General features: G+C 43.8%; 1 protein-coding gene across 1 annotated transcript in view, besides 3 other annotated features; it reads left to right on the top strand.

The window, feature by feature from the left end:
- The window catches only part of DLEU7 (deleted in lymphocytic leukemia 7), a 132,914-nt gene that overhangs the window by 74,882 nt on the left and 43,873 nt on the right, over positions 1 to 14,159 (top strand). The window lies entirely within an intron of this gene.
- Positions 12,556 to 12,665: an enhancer, noted in NCBI's record as "active region_7766". NCBI's record gives its function as "activates an Ori minimal core promoter by ATAC-STARR-seq in GM12878 lymphoblastoid cells {active_cell/tissue: GM12878}" and the evidence as "EXISTENCE:reporter gene assay evidence [ECO:0000049][PMID:35858748]".
- Positions 12,696 to 12,745: an enhancer, noted in NCBI's record as "active region_7765". NCBI's record gives its function as "activates an Ori minimal core promoter by ATAC-STARR-seq in GM12878 lymphoblastoid cells {active_cell/tissue: GM12878}" and the evidence as "EXISTENCE:reporter gene assay evidence [ECO:0000049][PMID:35858748]".
- Positions 12,776 to 12,825: an enhancer, noted in NCBI's record as "active region_7764". NCBI's record gives its function as "activates an Ori minimal core promoter by ATAC-STARR-seq in GM12878 lymphoblastoid cells {active_cell/tissue: GM12878}" and the evidence as "EXISTENCE:reporter gene assay evidence [ECO:0000049][PMID:35858748]".

Raw genomic sequence — 14,159 nt, 5'->3', positions numbered from 1 at the left:
CATGAAAAAATGCTCACCATCACTGGTCATCAGAGAAATGCAAATCAAAACCACAGTGAGATACCATCTCACACCAGTTAGAATGGCGATCATTTAAAAGTCAGGAAACAACAGGTGCTGGAGAGGATGTGGAGAAATAGGAACGCTTCTACACTGTTGGTGGGAATGTAAACTAGTTCAGCCATTGTGGAAGATGGTGTGGCAATTCCTCAAGGATCTAGAACTAGAAATACCATTTGACCGAGCCATCCCATTACTGGGTATATACCCAAAGGATTATAAATCATGCTGCTATAAAGACACATGCACACGTATGTTTATTGCGGCACTATTCACAATAGCAAAGACTTGGAACCAACCCAAATGTCCATAAATGATAGACTGGATTAAGAAAATGTAGCACATATATACTATGGACTACTATGCAGCCATAAACAGGGATGAATTTATGTCCTTTGTAAGGACATGGCTGAAGCTGGAAACCATCATTCTGAGCAAACTCTTGCAAGGACAGAAAACCAAACACCGCATATTCTCACTCATAGGTGGGAATTGAACAATGAGAACACTTGGACACAGGAAGGGGAACATCAACACCAGGGCCTGTCGTGGGGTGAGGGGAGGGGGGAGGGATAGCATTAGAAGAAATACCTAATATAAATGACGAGTTAATGGGTGCAGCACACCAACATGGCACATGTATACCTATGTAACAAACCTGCACATTGTGCACGTGTACCCTAGAACTTAAAGTATAATAAAAAAAAAATAAAATCATGAATGAAAAAAATACCAACTTGAAATTCTATATAGAGCAAATATATATATGTATATATGTGTACGTACACACACACATACATAATTTAGATAAACAAAACCTGAGAGTATTTGTTGCCAGCAGACCCATATTACCGGAAAGCCTCACAGATGTTCTTTGGCTGAAGAAAAATAATACCAAATAAAAATTCAGAGCTACAGGAAGAAAGGATAAACATTAAAAGTGGTAAATATTTGGGTACATATAAAAACATATTGGACTTGGTTAAAATTAGCATCTATTCTTCAAAACACACCACTAGGAAAACAAAAGCAAGTCACAGAATGGCAGAAGTGTTTGTCCCGTGGGACTGCTGACATGGTTCTCACTGCTGCCACCCTGGAGGGATTGGCTGGGACTAGTGCTAGAGAACAGCCAGAAGAAAGCATCACGGAGGCTTGACCTTCAGGAGCTCCCTTTCCCGCTATTCAAGCCAGGGCTAAGGGGTGTCTCCTGGAGCTTTCTGTGTGTATGCTGGTCCTGGTCTTACTTCCAGGTTTCCGGCTGCCTTGAGTCTATGCTAGGGGACACTGGAGGAAAAGTGGGAAGCTCACCACCTATTTGGTGATGCCTTGAATTCTGGTCCTATTTTCCAACTTCCAGAGTCCTACAATAGCTGTCCCAGGTGCTAGAGCTCCACTGGGGAAGACAGACAGGGTTCAGTATGCTTCTCCCTCTTGAACCATGGTCCCATGAACTAAGTCTTGAGCATGGTAAGCCTGAGCTTACCATGAACATCCAGGTGGAAATGCATGTCTGGAGTTTTTTTTTTTTTTTTTTTTTTTGAGACGGAGTCTCGCTCTGTCGCCCAGGCTGGAGTGCAGTGGCGCGATCTCGGCTCACTGCAAGCTCCGCCTCCCGGGTTCACGCCATTCTCCTGCCTCAGCCTCCCGCGTAGCTGGGACTACAGGCGCCCGCCACCACGCCCGGCTAATTTTTTGTATTTTTTAGTAGAGTCGGGGTTTCACTGTGTTAGCCAGGATGGTCTCGATCTCCTGACCTCATGATCTGCCCGCCTCGGCCTCCCAAAGTGCTGGGATTACAGGCGTGAGCCACCGCGCCCGGCCACGTCTGGAGTTTTGAAACAAGCTCTGGGCTAGAAATAAACATTTCAGCCTTCAATGTATAGATGTTGTTCTCATTTACAGAAGTGGATGAAAGCCATCAGGGATAGTGTGTAGGATAACAGAAATGGACTGTGAATAGAACCCTGGAAACTAGCAACGTCTAAGTAGTGGGCAAAGGAAAAGGAGCCAATGATGAGGGTTCAGACAGGCAGGAGAAAAACCAGGACACAGACCCAGGGGAGACAAGTCTCCACTCCAGCTGTCTTCTGGCTGTGCACACCAGTGTTGCTCTGTGTGTTTGGCCAGCATTTCCCAGGGTTCTGTATGTACAGCACCTGTATCAGAATCACTGGCAGGGGTGGGGCGTGGGGGGTGGGATGTCAAGTGTGTCGAGTCTTAGGCCATGCTCCAAACTTCTTTAATTATAGGCATAAGCAGTGGGGCCTGCCTGCCTGAGTTTAAACTGGCTGTGCAGGGATTTCTCATGAACAGTTGGAAAGCCAATTCCCTAGGCCTAGGGAATGTAGGGACTCCTGAGCCTGTCACCAGCATAAAGAGAAGGTGCTGAACAGAGGGAAAAGTAAGAGAAGAGGAGGAGAAAGGAGTGATGATGAGGGAAAGAGAGAGATTCCCGAAGTTTGGTAAGTGGTGTGGAAGGAGAAAGAAGAGGAAGGGGAGATTAAGAGGAGGAGTAGGAAGAGAAGGAAGACAAGGAAAGAGACCATTTATTCTCTTATTCTCATTATTTCAAAGCAGACATACTAGGAGTAGCTGAATCTTGGGTTCATCTTCCATGTTTGCAGTCTGCTAAGAGCCCAGCACGAGCCTGCAGGGCTCCAGGCTGGGTGAGGAGACAAGGAGACGGGTGGAGTGCAGCCGCTGCAGCTGTGCTGAACATGATGCCGAACGTGATGGGAGTGAGCAATTTGGGCTGACAGTATCCTTCTTTAAACAGCATCCAATGCTCAGTGAGCCCTGTTGCTTTTACATGACTTAATCAACATAGGTTAATTGGTACATTTTGTGCCAAATCCAGTAGTCATGTTTTATGCTGTGTTGCTCTAGCCAGACAACATCTGTTTGGAAGGGGAATGAAACTTGCTGAGGCAAAGCTACACGCATCCTTTTCTCTCCACCCCACCCCCAACCCTCCTACTAAAGAGTACATTTAAGAAATCTTCTGAAAAAGTCCAAAAGCTAATGTCAAGTAGAAACCACATTAGATGAAATGGGAATTCATCACTAAAAGTGCTTAGAGAAAAAGCATTTGACCCCTTTTGAGCCTCCAAATAATCCACGCAATGCAAGTTTTCTTGGCCTTCACTTGCTGTCTTCTCAACCTTGGTTCTTCCCTGTTGAGTGCCTCCACAACAATGGCCATGTCTCCTTCATCTTCATATTGCTGGCTCCCAGTACAGTGCCTGGCACATGTGAGGGGTTCAAAACTTTTGCTGAACTAAGCTTAACTTTCATTCTAGTGTCATTTTAACATATCTGTGTTCTCGGTGTCTTCTACATTTCTTCTTTCCTCCTTCACATTTCTCCTGGTCTTCTTCCTTTCTATCTGTTTATTTTATTCTCTTCTTTGCCCTTTCTGTCTTTTACTCTTCTCTCCCCCAGGGCCTGATTATTGCCAGAAGAGGACCAAGTTGGGAACCAGAATGTGGAGAAAACAAATTCTTCCAGCCTCTTCCAAACTTCCTTCCCTCCTCTTCTTTCTCCTTCCTCCTCTTCTTTCTCCTTCCTCCTCATTTTCTCTTCCCTTGTCTTCTTCCATTTATCTTCCTTTTTCCTTCCCCTGTCTGCACCCTTCAGGCTTCGCTTTCTAAAGTCCTCCATGTAGAAACATCTTATTAATGTGAAGGATGCAGTGCTATTTGAGTCATTGGAGTAAAAGCCATTTTTCATTTCCTAATAATACCCTGTCTTTAGTGATTCTTAATTTTGAATAAATTCTCCTCTACATCACAAACACAAATTCATTCTAAGGTGCAACATGGCAGTGGCTCATGCCTGTAATCTCAGCACTTTGGGAGGCTGAGATAGGTGGATCACCTGAGGTCAGGAGTTAGAGACCAGCCTGGCCAACAAGGTGAAACCCTGTTTCTACTAAAGATACAAAAATTTACCAGGCATGATGGTGCGTGCCTGTAATCCCAGCTACTTTGGAGGCTGTGGCAGAAGAATTGCTTGAACACAGGATGCAGAAGTTGCAGTGAGCCGAGATTGCCCCACTGCACTCCAGCCTGGGCAACAGAGTGAGACTCTGTCTCAAACAAAACAAAACAAAACAAAACAAACCCAAAAAAGGTGCAACATGACCCATTTAATATACTTCATTCTTCAGTATTCTTAATTAGTGAACACTCTAACTTTATGGATAATTGTTATATCTTCATCAGCATTTCATGGACTATCTGATGGAGTGAACACTCAAGGGATTTGACTCAAGTTCCCTGAACAAGCTAAATGGAATAGTACACTGCCCCTTCATCTCCAAGACAATCCATTGTGTTAATTTGTTCAGTCTTCTATGAATGATGATCAAATGCTTATGAATAACAACTGTGCCAGAAATGACTAAGATTAGGGGTTCATAGATAAGTGTTTTAAGAAACACTTAAAGCCTCTGAACTTATTTAATTCCATTATTCTTTTGACTCACTGCGTTCTCATTGGTAATTCACAGCTTTCTGTATAGCCTAGGTCCTTCGGCCATCCAGAGGTTTTGTTCGTTGTTAGTTAATGACTCCTGGAAATGGGAGGAAGAACACAAAACTTCAGACCAGTTCAGAAAAGATGAGCTTCTGGTGGAACTATATTATTTTTCAGGAAGAAATAATATAGGAGTGGAAGAAGGAAACCAAGACTGTTGAACTCCTTTTATGGAGTTCACAGAAGCAACTATGAATGATTATATGTTATGATGCAACTTGTAATGTGTTAACTCTTTAATTCTCACAAAACACTGTAAGGGAGGAATTCTTATATTATAGATGAAGGAATGGAGACTCAGAGGGGTGAGTGGACTTGTTCAAGATCACAGAGCGCGACAGTGCTGAAACCAGGATTCAAACCCAGGTCTGGCCAAGTCCAAAGCCCATGTGCGTTCTAGTACACTCTACCTGCAGTGCCTTAAATGCAGTGCGGGACTATAAACACAGCCTTTCCGCCTGTCTCTTCTTTAATATTGTCTCTTACTTTGTTTCATCAGTAACAGCACCTCCCATTTTATGGTGCTTTACAGACATTTATCAGGTGTTTTCACAGACACTGTCTCACTTAGTCCCCACAGCAATCCTGGGAAATACTAGTGTTGTTTGCAGTTTACAGATGTGGAAACTGGGATCTGGAGTGATGATGGGGTTGGCTTCTGGTCAGACAGCAAGTCAGTGACGGGGCTGATTCTGAAAGGAAGATGGGGCTGGGCCAGGTCACTGGGAAGCCTGCAGGGCAGATCCGGGAGCTAGGATTGGTAAAAGACATGTCAAAAGGGTCAGGGCAGGAAGGGCAGTGTGGCTGGCTGAGTATTTCATTCAGAGGTGAATTCTATTTTCTGTGAATTGCAGAATTTTCTGACAGTTCTGTTTCCCACTTTGCTGTTTAGGGCACTCACATGATCTCCCTAACTCCTGACTCTGAACATTCTTGCTTCACCCAGGGTCTTGCACTTTTCTTTCTATGTTCATCTTCTTAAAGCATGGTTCATTTTCTTCTTCCATCTGCACAGGCTTGATTTCTGATGCAGGCCCTCATCATGTCTTACTTGAATAACTGCAGAGCAGTCTTCTGATAGGGCTTCCTGTCTTCAGCCAGCTCTCCTGCCCTGCTGTTCACACTAGACTGATTTTCCTAAAATGCAAATGTGATCATAGTTCTCTGCTTAACATTTGTTAGTGGTTCCCAATCTCTTTTAGGACTAGATCCAGCCTCCTTATTACAATGAATGGGATCCTTCATAACTCGAGCCCTCCCCAGCGTCCCCAGGACATCAGTGCCACAGCAGTACCGAGCTGCTGCTTGATCTCACACCCCTCTGCATCTCACACATCATTGTCCCTCTGCGTGCAGTTGGTGATCTCTCCTGCTCTCCTTTAATTAACTGCCAGGCAGCTGCCTTCCCACCTCTCTGGTGTTGTCTCCTTTCCTAAAGACCCAAGCAGACCTAGGGCTACCATTACATATGCACTTGTGGGTCTGCAGGGCACTTTCTCTCCACCAGTTGGAGGCACACTGGTGGGAAGAACTTTATCTTTTCACCTGTGATTCTTTCTCTCCCTGCAACATCCCTTCCTGGATGCAGATCTTTCCTGGATGCAGGGGGACTTTTTGTAATCTTGGGGAGGCGGCTGTTGCTTTTTTTTTTTTTTTTTCTAGCACAATAAAGGGCAGGAGATTAACCTCTTCAGTGTGAGAGTGTGTTTTTGTTGTTTTTTTGTTTTGTTTTGTGGGGTGGCCTGGGGTAGGAAGAGTTCCATTCTTAAACCACCTTGGTGGCATCTTCTCCTTTAATCCCCGCCTTCAAGATGTATACAGCTTCTTTCTTTCTCCTCCATTTAATGTGTTGACACCCATAAAAGTTGTGAAAAGAATGCAAGCTTCCATCAAGTTCAAAGCTATTGGATTTAGATGAAAAAGACATTTGTAGGCCTTGAGAGGCAAAGAAATGCCACCCATAATAGTGAGGCAGCAGCCAGGATAGGTTCCGACCTGGGCTTTACCCTGTTCCGTGAGCACAGCAGGGATATGAGCTGTCTAGATTCTGAGAATGATAAGTCTGTATTTTAATTATAATGCTCCAGGAGTAGGCATTAATTCATGCAGTCAGCATCCTGGCTAAAATCCCTGCTTGTGATAGTCGTAATCCCCAAACATTGCATAGTCAGAAACCCTGGGAAGACACAGAACTAAACATATAAGTCTTTTAGAGAATCAAAACTGTATCACTGATATTTTCTTTTCTTTTTTTTTTTTTTTTTTTTTTGAGACGAGTCTCGCTCTGTCACCCAGGCTGGAGTGCAGTGGTGCGATCTTGGCTCACTGCAACCTCCGCCTCCCGGGCTCAAGCAATTCTCTGCCTCAGCCTCCCGAGTAGCTGGGATTACAGGTGCCCACCACCACGCCTGGCTAATTTTTTTTGTATTTTTAGTAGAGATGGGGTTTCACCATCTTGGCCAGGCAGGTCTTGAACTCCTGACCCTGTGATCCACCCACCTCGGCCTCCCAAAGTGCTGGGATTACAGGCGTGAGCCACCGTGCCCGGCCCAATATTTTCAAGTTAAGAATCTCTACTTATTTGGTATATTTCATTAATGTTTTAAAGAAATTGCCTATTAGAATAACAGGTCAGCTTTAAAATGCCCATTTAAGAGGCATAATTGAATACTTTTTGATTTAGACTTGTGGTTTTAGATAAAACTTTAATGTGTCAAAGAGAATTCAGCCTCACCAGATGCCTCTGGCAGTCAGATTGGGGCCCATGATTCATTTGGGGCAATGAAAACTTGTGGTACTTCCAAGTAGAAGCATCAAGAGCAGGCATGTCTCCTCCATCTCTCCTTTCCTTGTGAAAGCGACCTGGTTGGTGCAGGCATTGGATGGGAGAGGCCATGTGATCCACACTGTATTTGCCTGAAGGAGAAACACACCTGGATCATGTTGTGAGACAGCATGAAAGACTGAATTGTCCACTAGGGATCCCACATGTCCTTGCCCCAACAGCTGGGTTTCCTCTTCCCTCTTTTTTTTGCACATGACATTAGCCCCTAACTGTTCCACTCCACCCCTTTTGATAAAATTCAGATCACTCAAATCATCACTGCTAATTCACTAAAACAATTCGTCCCCCTTCTCAAACTCTTTTGACAAACCACTGCTGCCGATGGCTGAACTTCAGCTGACACCTTCCTGCTAAAGCTCTATAAAACATTCTGCCCTCCTTCCCCAAGTTACAACGCCCCTTTGGATCCTTCTCATGCCTGGTATTTTTGAATAAAAGCTGATATGAATGGTGCTCTGGTTGATTTTTTCTGAGCAAGGACGGGATCCCCAGTGGACAATTCAGTCTTTCATGGTCTCTCACAACACAATCCAGGTGTGTTTCTCCTTCAGGCAAATACAGTGTGGACCACATGGCCTCCCCCATCCAGTGGCTGCACCATCCAAGTCACTTTCACAAGAAAAGGAGAGATGGAGGAGACATGCTGTTCTTGACTGCTTCTACTTGGAAATACCACAAATTTTCATTGCCCCAAATGAATCATAGGCCCCACTCTGACTGCCAGGGGTATCTGATGAGGCTGAATTCTCTTTGACACATTTAAGCCATCAAGATTTCAGGCTTATTTGCTATCATACCATAGCCTAACCTATACTGGCTAATGTATTTACTAAATTTATAAACAATATATGAACATTTTCTTAAATTTAAGATTCATCACATTTAGAAATTTGCTTGATTAAATTTTCAGTAAATACTTACATGCATGGGAAGTTTTACTATTAGAAAATTGGGCCAGGCACAGTGGCTCACGCCTGTAATCCCAACACTTGGGAAGCCACGGCAGAAGGATCACTTGAGGCCAGGAGTTTGAGACCAGCCTGGTCAACATAGCAAGACCCTCATCTCTACAAAAAATACAAAAGTTAGCCAGACCTGGTGGCACATGCCTGTAATCCTAGCGACTTGTGAGGCTGAGGCAGGAGGATTGCTTGAGCCCACGAGTTTGAGGCTGCTGTGAACTATGATCATGCCAGTGAACTCCAGCCTGGGCAACAGAGTGAGACCCTGTCCCTGCCCTCCCATTGCCCCCAGCTCCCACCAAAAAAAAGAATACTGAAGTGCTTAAAAGTACTTATATTTGTAAGTGTAATTGAAAGTATTCAAAGATGTTTAATTAGCTTGCTTTATAAAATGAGACCAAATATTATTCAAGGGATCCTTAACTGTGATTGCTAAAATTTGGCAGAAGTTTTTATTTTACAAGTAAAATAGGATTTATAAGATGAACACAAAAGCCTAAATATGAATTGCATTTTTAAATATAGAGCTTGAATAAATCTAACATTGCTGTCTAAAAACCAGACCAAACCCCTGAATGATCTTTTGTATGCATAAAGTGTATACTCAAGAATACGTAAAAGACCTCATATTTAGCAATTTGCTATGGAACCAGGTAGAGCTGACACTGACTGATGAGCTACATGGGGGGTCACTATCCAAGGAATAGTAGGATCTCAGAAGGGAGGGTCCAAAGGATGGAAGGTGGCTGGCAGAGGGAAGAGAGAATTTGCAGGACTGGGCTCCAGGAGAGAAGTTCTTGCTGTGGAGGGGTGGCCAAAGAGTGTACGTGGAGATCCAGGGTAACTCAGAGAAGTCACAGAAGCCCCCTGAGTTCTTAGCACACTGAGAATCTAAAATAGGTCCAATATTTCCCTCACGGGTCACTTCTTCCACTGGGTCACTTCCTCTGCTGACTCCCTTCCTGGTGTTTTTCCACTGGGAAAGAATGGATCTAAGAGAGTGACACTGGGGGCCACCTGACTAGCTGAATAAGAAGACTACTATCACTACTGTGCCCTTCTGCCCTGATCTATTCATGATAAGGGCTAAATAAGAATAAGCCCTTACATGTGCATAGGACTTTAGAGTGTACAAAGTGCTTCATAAAACTCCCAAAACTTATTCATTTAACTTTCACTATAGACCTCTGAAGTCTTTATTTCTGCCACACATTTAGTTCCATCCCTAGTTTACACACATGGAATCAAAATCTCATAAACTTCTAAATCTGTGGGAGGCCTAAGAGATCATTGGGATCAAGCCATTCTTCCAGTAGATGAAGGAACCAAGACCCATAATAGTTAAGTGATTTTACTGAAGCCATACAGCTAGTATGTTATGTCAGTCAGATATTTTTGTGTTTGTTTCTTTGTTCCTTCCAGATATCTCTAAATGAAGCTGATAGACTAGGCTTAAAATGGAAAATATGTATATGGGGGGAGTGGAAAAGGAGGTTACAAAGATGAGGAATAAATCAACCCCTGTCTAAGGGAATGTGTTTGCAAATTGGATGAACTAGTTTGAAATGAATTTTCAAAGGAATTCCGATTTTCTTGTGGTAGCTAATGATTGAAGAATCTCAGTGACACTAGTTCAAGACATTCTCCATTGAGGATTACACATTAAAATATTTGGAAATGGGGGCTGTGGTAAGCCTAAGATGGGCTCCAATTATCCTTGCTTCCTTCTGCAATCTTCTCCCCTTGAATGTGGGCTGGACATAGTGACTCACTTCCAGTGAATAGAAAACAATAGCTAAGTAAAGGAGTGCCACTCCTGAGATTTAGTCATAAAAAGACTATGGCTTCTTTCTTGAGTATCCTCTTTCTCCTTCTCTCTCATCCCTCACTCTGGAGAAAGCCAGTTGTGTTTATAGTCAGCCCTGTGGAGAGGTTCATGTGACAAGGAACTGAGGGAGGCCTTCAGCCAACAGTGGGAAATAGAGCCCTCTGTCCAACTGCCCATGAGGCCTGGCAACCAGCAGGTAAGTGGGCTTAGAGCTGACTTCCCCCGGTGGAGTCTTCAGTGGAGACCACAGCCCCACAGCCCCAGCCCTAAGTGACTGCTTAACTGCAGCTTCATGAAAGCTACTGAGCCAGAGGCACCCAGCTGAGAAATACTGGGATTCCTGACTCACGGAAACTGTGAATACTGTGAAACTGACATAATAAATTTTTTTTACACTGCTCACTTTGGGGGCCATTTGTTATGCAGCAGTGGATAACTAATACAAGAGTGAAATAAGGACAAAAGAAACCTTAATTAACTGGTTATCTTCTCACTTTGATCAATGTGTACCACAGTCTTAAAGACACATTTTGGAGTGTTTTTAACGTTTCTTTAGCACTGTTAACAATAAGCTTCCAAATCACAAAATTCAAAAATTATCTATTTTCCCCATTAAACATGTTGCTTGCTCCAATTATGGTTAAAAATACATCTTGGGGCCAGGTGTAGTGACTCACACCTGTAATTCTACCACTTTGGGAGGCTGAGGTGGGAGGATTGCTTAAGGCCAGCAATTTGAGACCAACCTGGGCAACATAGCTAAACCTCATCTCAAAAAAAAAAAAAAAAAAAAAAAAATCTTGGTAATGAAAATAATACTGGGGACCAAGTTAGGTATAAAATATATTTCACACTTACCATATTTAGATGCAAGGTCTAGAAGAATTGTTCTGAAGATATGATGGAGTTGGTATTTTAGGTGTAAATCACTGCCTGAATCAGAGTGCTTCTCTCTTTCCTGGAGGCCACTCCTCAGCAGCTGGTTAGCCCTGGAAAGTTCTCAAGGAGCCCCTGCACTTTTGCTAACATCACATTGCTTATTTGAAGAGCTGTGGATATGCCTGAAAAAGATATAACAAATTCCTATTTTATAATCACATTTAGAAAGAGAAACATTTCCATATTCTATCCCCTACCCATCCACTCAGCCTGTGATCAAGTTCAGCCTGAAAGATGGAGGTTTAGAGGAAAATAGAAATCGATTGCAGTAACAAGCATGACGAATAGTGTGCCAGGAGAAACAAACCTAGACTGAAGGTGTGAGCGCTCGAGTTTACAAAGTCAAGTTTTGCATTGGTTTGGCTGGTGGGGAAACTCTAGAATGCCATGCAGCAGAAATGAAAAAGTAACATCTCAGAATCTCTGATCATTTTGGATGTCTATCAATAAACCTAGCATGGCAGATTAGCAGAGAATAAGTCAAGAAGAATTATGACCAGAGAAGATTAATTGAAGTCAAGGTTCCTATGACTAAATTTGTTTATATCTGGGTGCTGAGTTAGAAGCCCAACTAGTTCGTCTGCCTCACTTTTGTGTTGCTAATTTCTTTAAAAAAACAACAACAACAAAAGATCATCATTGCAGATGGGAGGCAGGACTAGATTGCAGCTCTGACTCAGATGGACAGAGCAGTGTGCAGAGGCTTGCATCATGAATTTTAGCTCCAGAATGACAAGAATAAACCAGAAATCCTGAGAGGATCCACAGACCCTCTGAAAGAAGCGGACTGCTCCTGCAGGACCTGGAAGACACTGTAAATACTGTGAGTGCCCAAACTGCAGAAGTGGGAAAGGGAAACCCTCCGCTCCTGAACACACACCCTCACTGGAGTAAATAAAAGAAGGCTTAATTTGCGGGAGAAGTTTCCAACCTTACCTGGAGCTCAGCCAATTTAGAGAGCCCAGCAAAATACAGGGGTAGAGGAAGCAGCGGGAAAGGCCCCAGGAGCTCGCTGGGTCCCCAAGCAGGCTATTCCTGCCTGGCATGACAGGGATCCTTCGGGAGGGCAGCCAGAGGTATGGGGGAAAACACCACAGGAAGAAGGAAGTCTCCAGCTGAAATTTGAAAAAATTTGAACCCAGAAAGAAGCTTCCTGGCCGGAAATCAGGGGAGGGTGCAAATCTGGTGTGTAGACTCCACAGGCAGGGGAAGAACAAAAGCTGTGTTCTTTCACAGCTGGGAGGCAGGTAGCCTGGGGCAAGTTCTCAAGCCCTGCTCGGCCCACTGCCTGGAAACAGCCTCAGGGTTGTTAGCGGGTCACAGTGAGAGGGAGACCGGCCCTCTGAATTGTGTGGGAGCTGAATGAGGCCTGTGACTGTCGGCTTTCCCCCACTTCCCTGACAACCTGCATGACTCAGCAGAGGCAGCCATAATCTTTCTAGGTACACAACTCCATTGACCTGGGAACCTCACCCTCATCTCCCACAGCAGCCACAGCAAGACCCATCGAAGGAGAGTCTGAGCTCAGACATGCCTAGTCCTGCCCCTACCTGATGGGCCTTCCCTATTCACTCTGGCAGCTGAAGACAAAGGGCGTATACTCTTGGGAGTTCTAGGGCCCCGCCCACCACCTGTTTCTCTCCATACTACCACAGCTGATGCTCTCTGGAAAGTGCCACCTCCTGGCAGGAGGCCAACCAGCACAAAAATAGAACATTAAACCACCAAAAAGCTAAGAACCCTCACAGAGTCCATTTCACCCCCCTGCAACCTCCACCAGAACAGGTGCTGGTATCCGTGGCTGAGAGACCCATAGACAGTTCACATCACAGGACTCTGTGCAGACAACCCCCAGTACCAGCCTGGAGGTGGGGAGACTTGCTGGGTGGCTAGACCCAGAAGAGAGATAACAATCATTGCAGCTTGGCTCACAAAAAGCCACATCCATAGGAAAAGGGGGAGAGTACTGCATCAAGGGAACACCCCATGGGACAAAAGAATCTGAACAACAGCCTTCAGCCCTAGACCTTGCCTCTGACGGAGCCTACCTAAATGAAAAGGAAGCAGAAAAACAACACTGGTAATATGGCAAAACAAAGTACAAAGTTCTTTAATACCGTGCCCCCCCCCTCAAAAAAAAATCACATTAGCTCACCAGCAATGGATACAAACCAAGAAGAAATCCCTGATTTACCTGGAAAAGAATTCAGGAGGTTAGTTATTAAGCTAATTGGGGAGGCACCAGAGAAAGGCGAAGCCCAATGCAAGGACATCTGAAAAGTGATACAAGAAGTGAAGGGAGAAATATTAAAGGAAATAGATAGCATAAAAAAAAGCAATAAAAACTTCAGGAAACATTGGACACATTTATAGAAATACAAAATGTTCTGGAAAGTCTCAGCAATAGAATTGAACAAGTAGAAGAACGAAATTCAGAGCTTAAAGACAAGGTCTTCAAATTAACCCAATATAACAAAGACAAAGAAAAAAGAATAAGAAAATATGAACAAAGCCTCCAAGAAGTCTGGGATTATGTTAAACAACCAAACCTAAGAATAATCGGTGTTCTTGAGGGAGAAGAGAAATCTAAGAGTTTGGAAAACATATTTGGGGGAATAATAGAGTAAAACTTTCCCAGCCTTGCTAGAGACATAGACATTCAAATACAAGAAGCACAAAGAACACCTGGGAAATTCATCACAAAAAGATCATCACCTACACACATTGTCATCAGGGTATCTAAAGTTAAGACGAAGGAAGGAATCTTAAGAGCTATGAGACAAAGGCACCAGTTAACCTATAAAGGAAAACCTATCAGACTAACAGCAGATTTCTCAACAGAAACCTTGCAAGCTAGAAGAGATTGGGGCCCTATCTTCAGCCTCCTCAAGCAAAACAATTTTCAGCCAAGAATTTTGTATCCAGTGAAGATAAGAATCACATATGAAGGAAAGATACAGTCTTTTTCAGACAAACAAATGCTGAG

Source organism: Homo sapiens, chromosome 13 (genome assembly GCF_000001405.40).
Source record: "Homo sapiens chromosome 13, GRCh38.p14 Primary Assembly".
NCBI classification, from domain to species: domain Eukaryota; kingdom Metazoa; phylum Chordata; class Mammalia; order Primates; family Hominidae; genus Homo; species Homo sapiens.
Note: the sequence above shows the minus strand (reverse complement) of the source record. Positions and strands in the feature narration are given on the sequence as shown.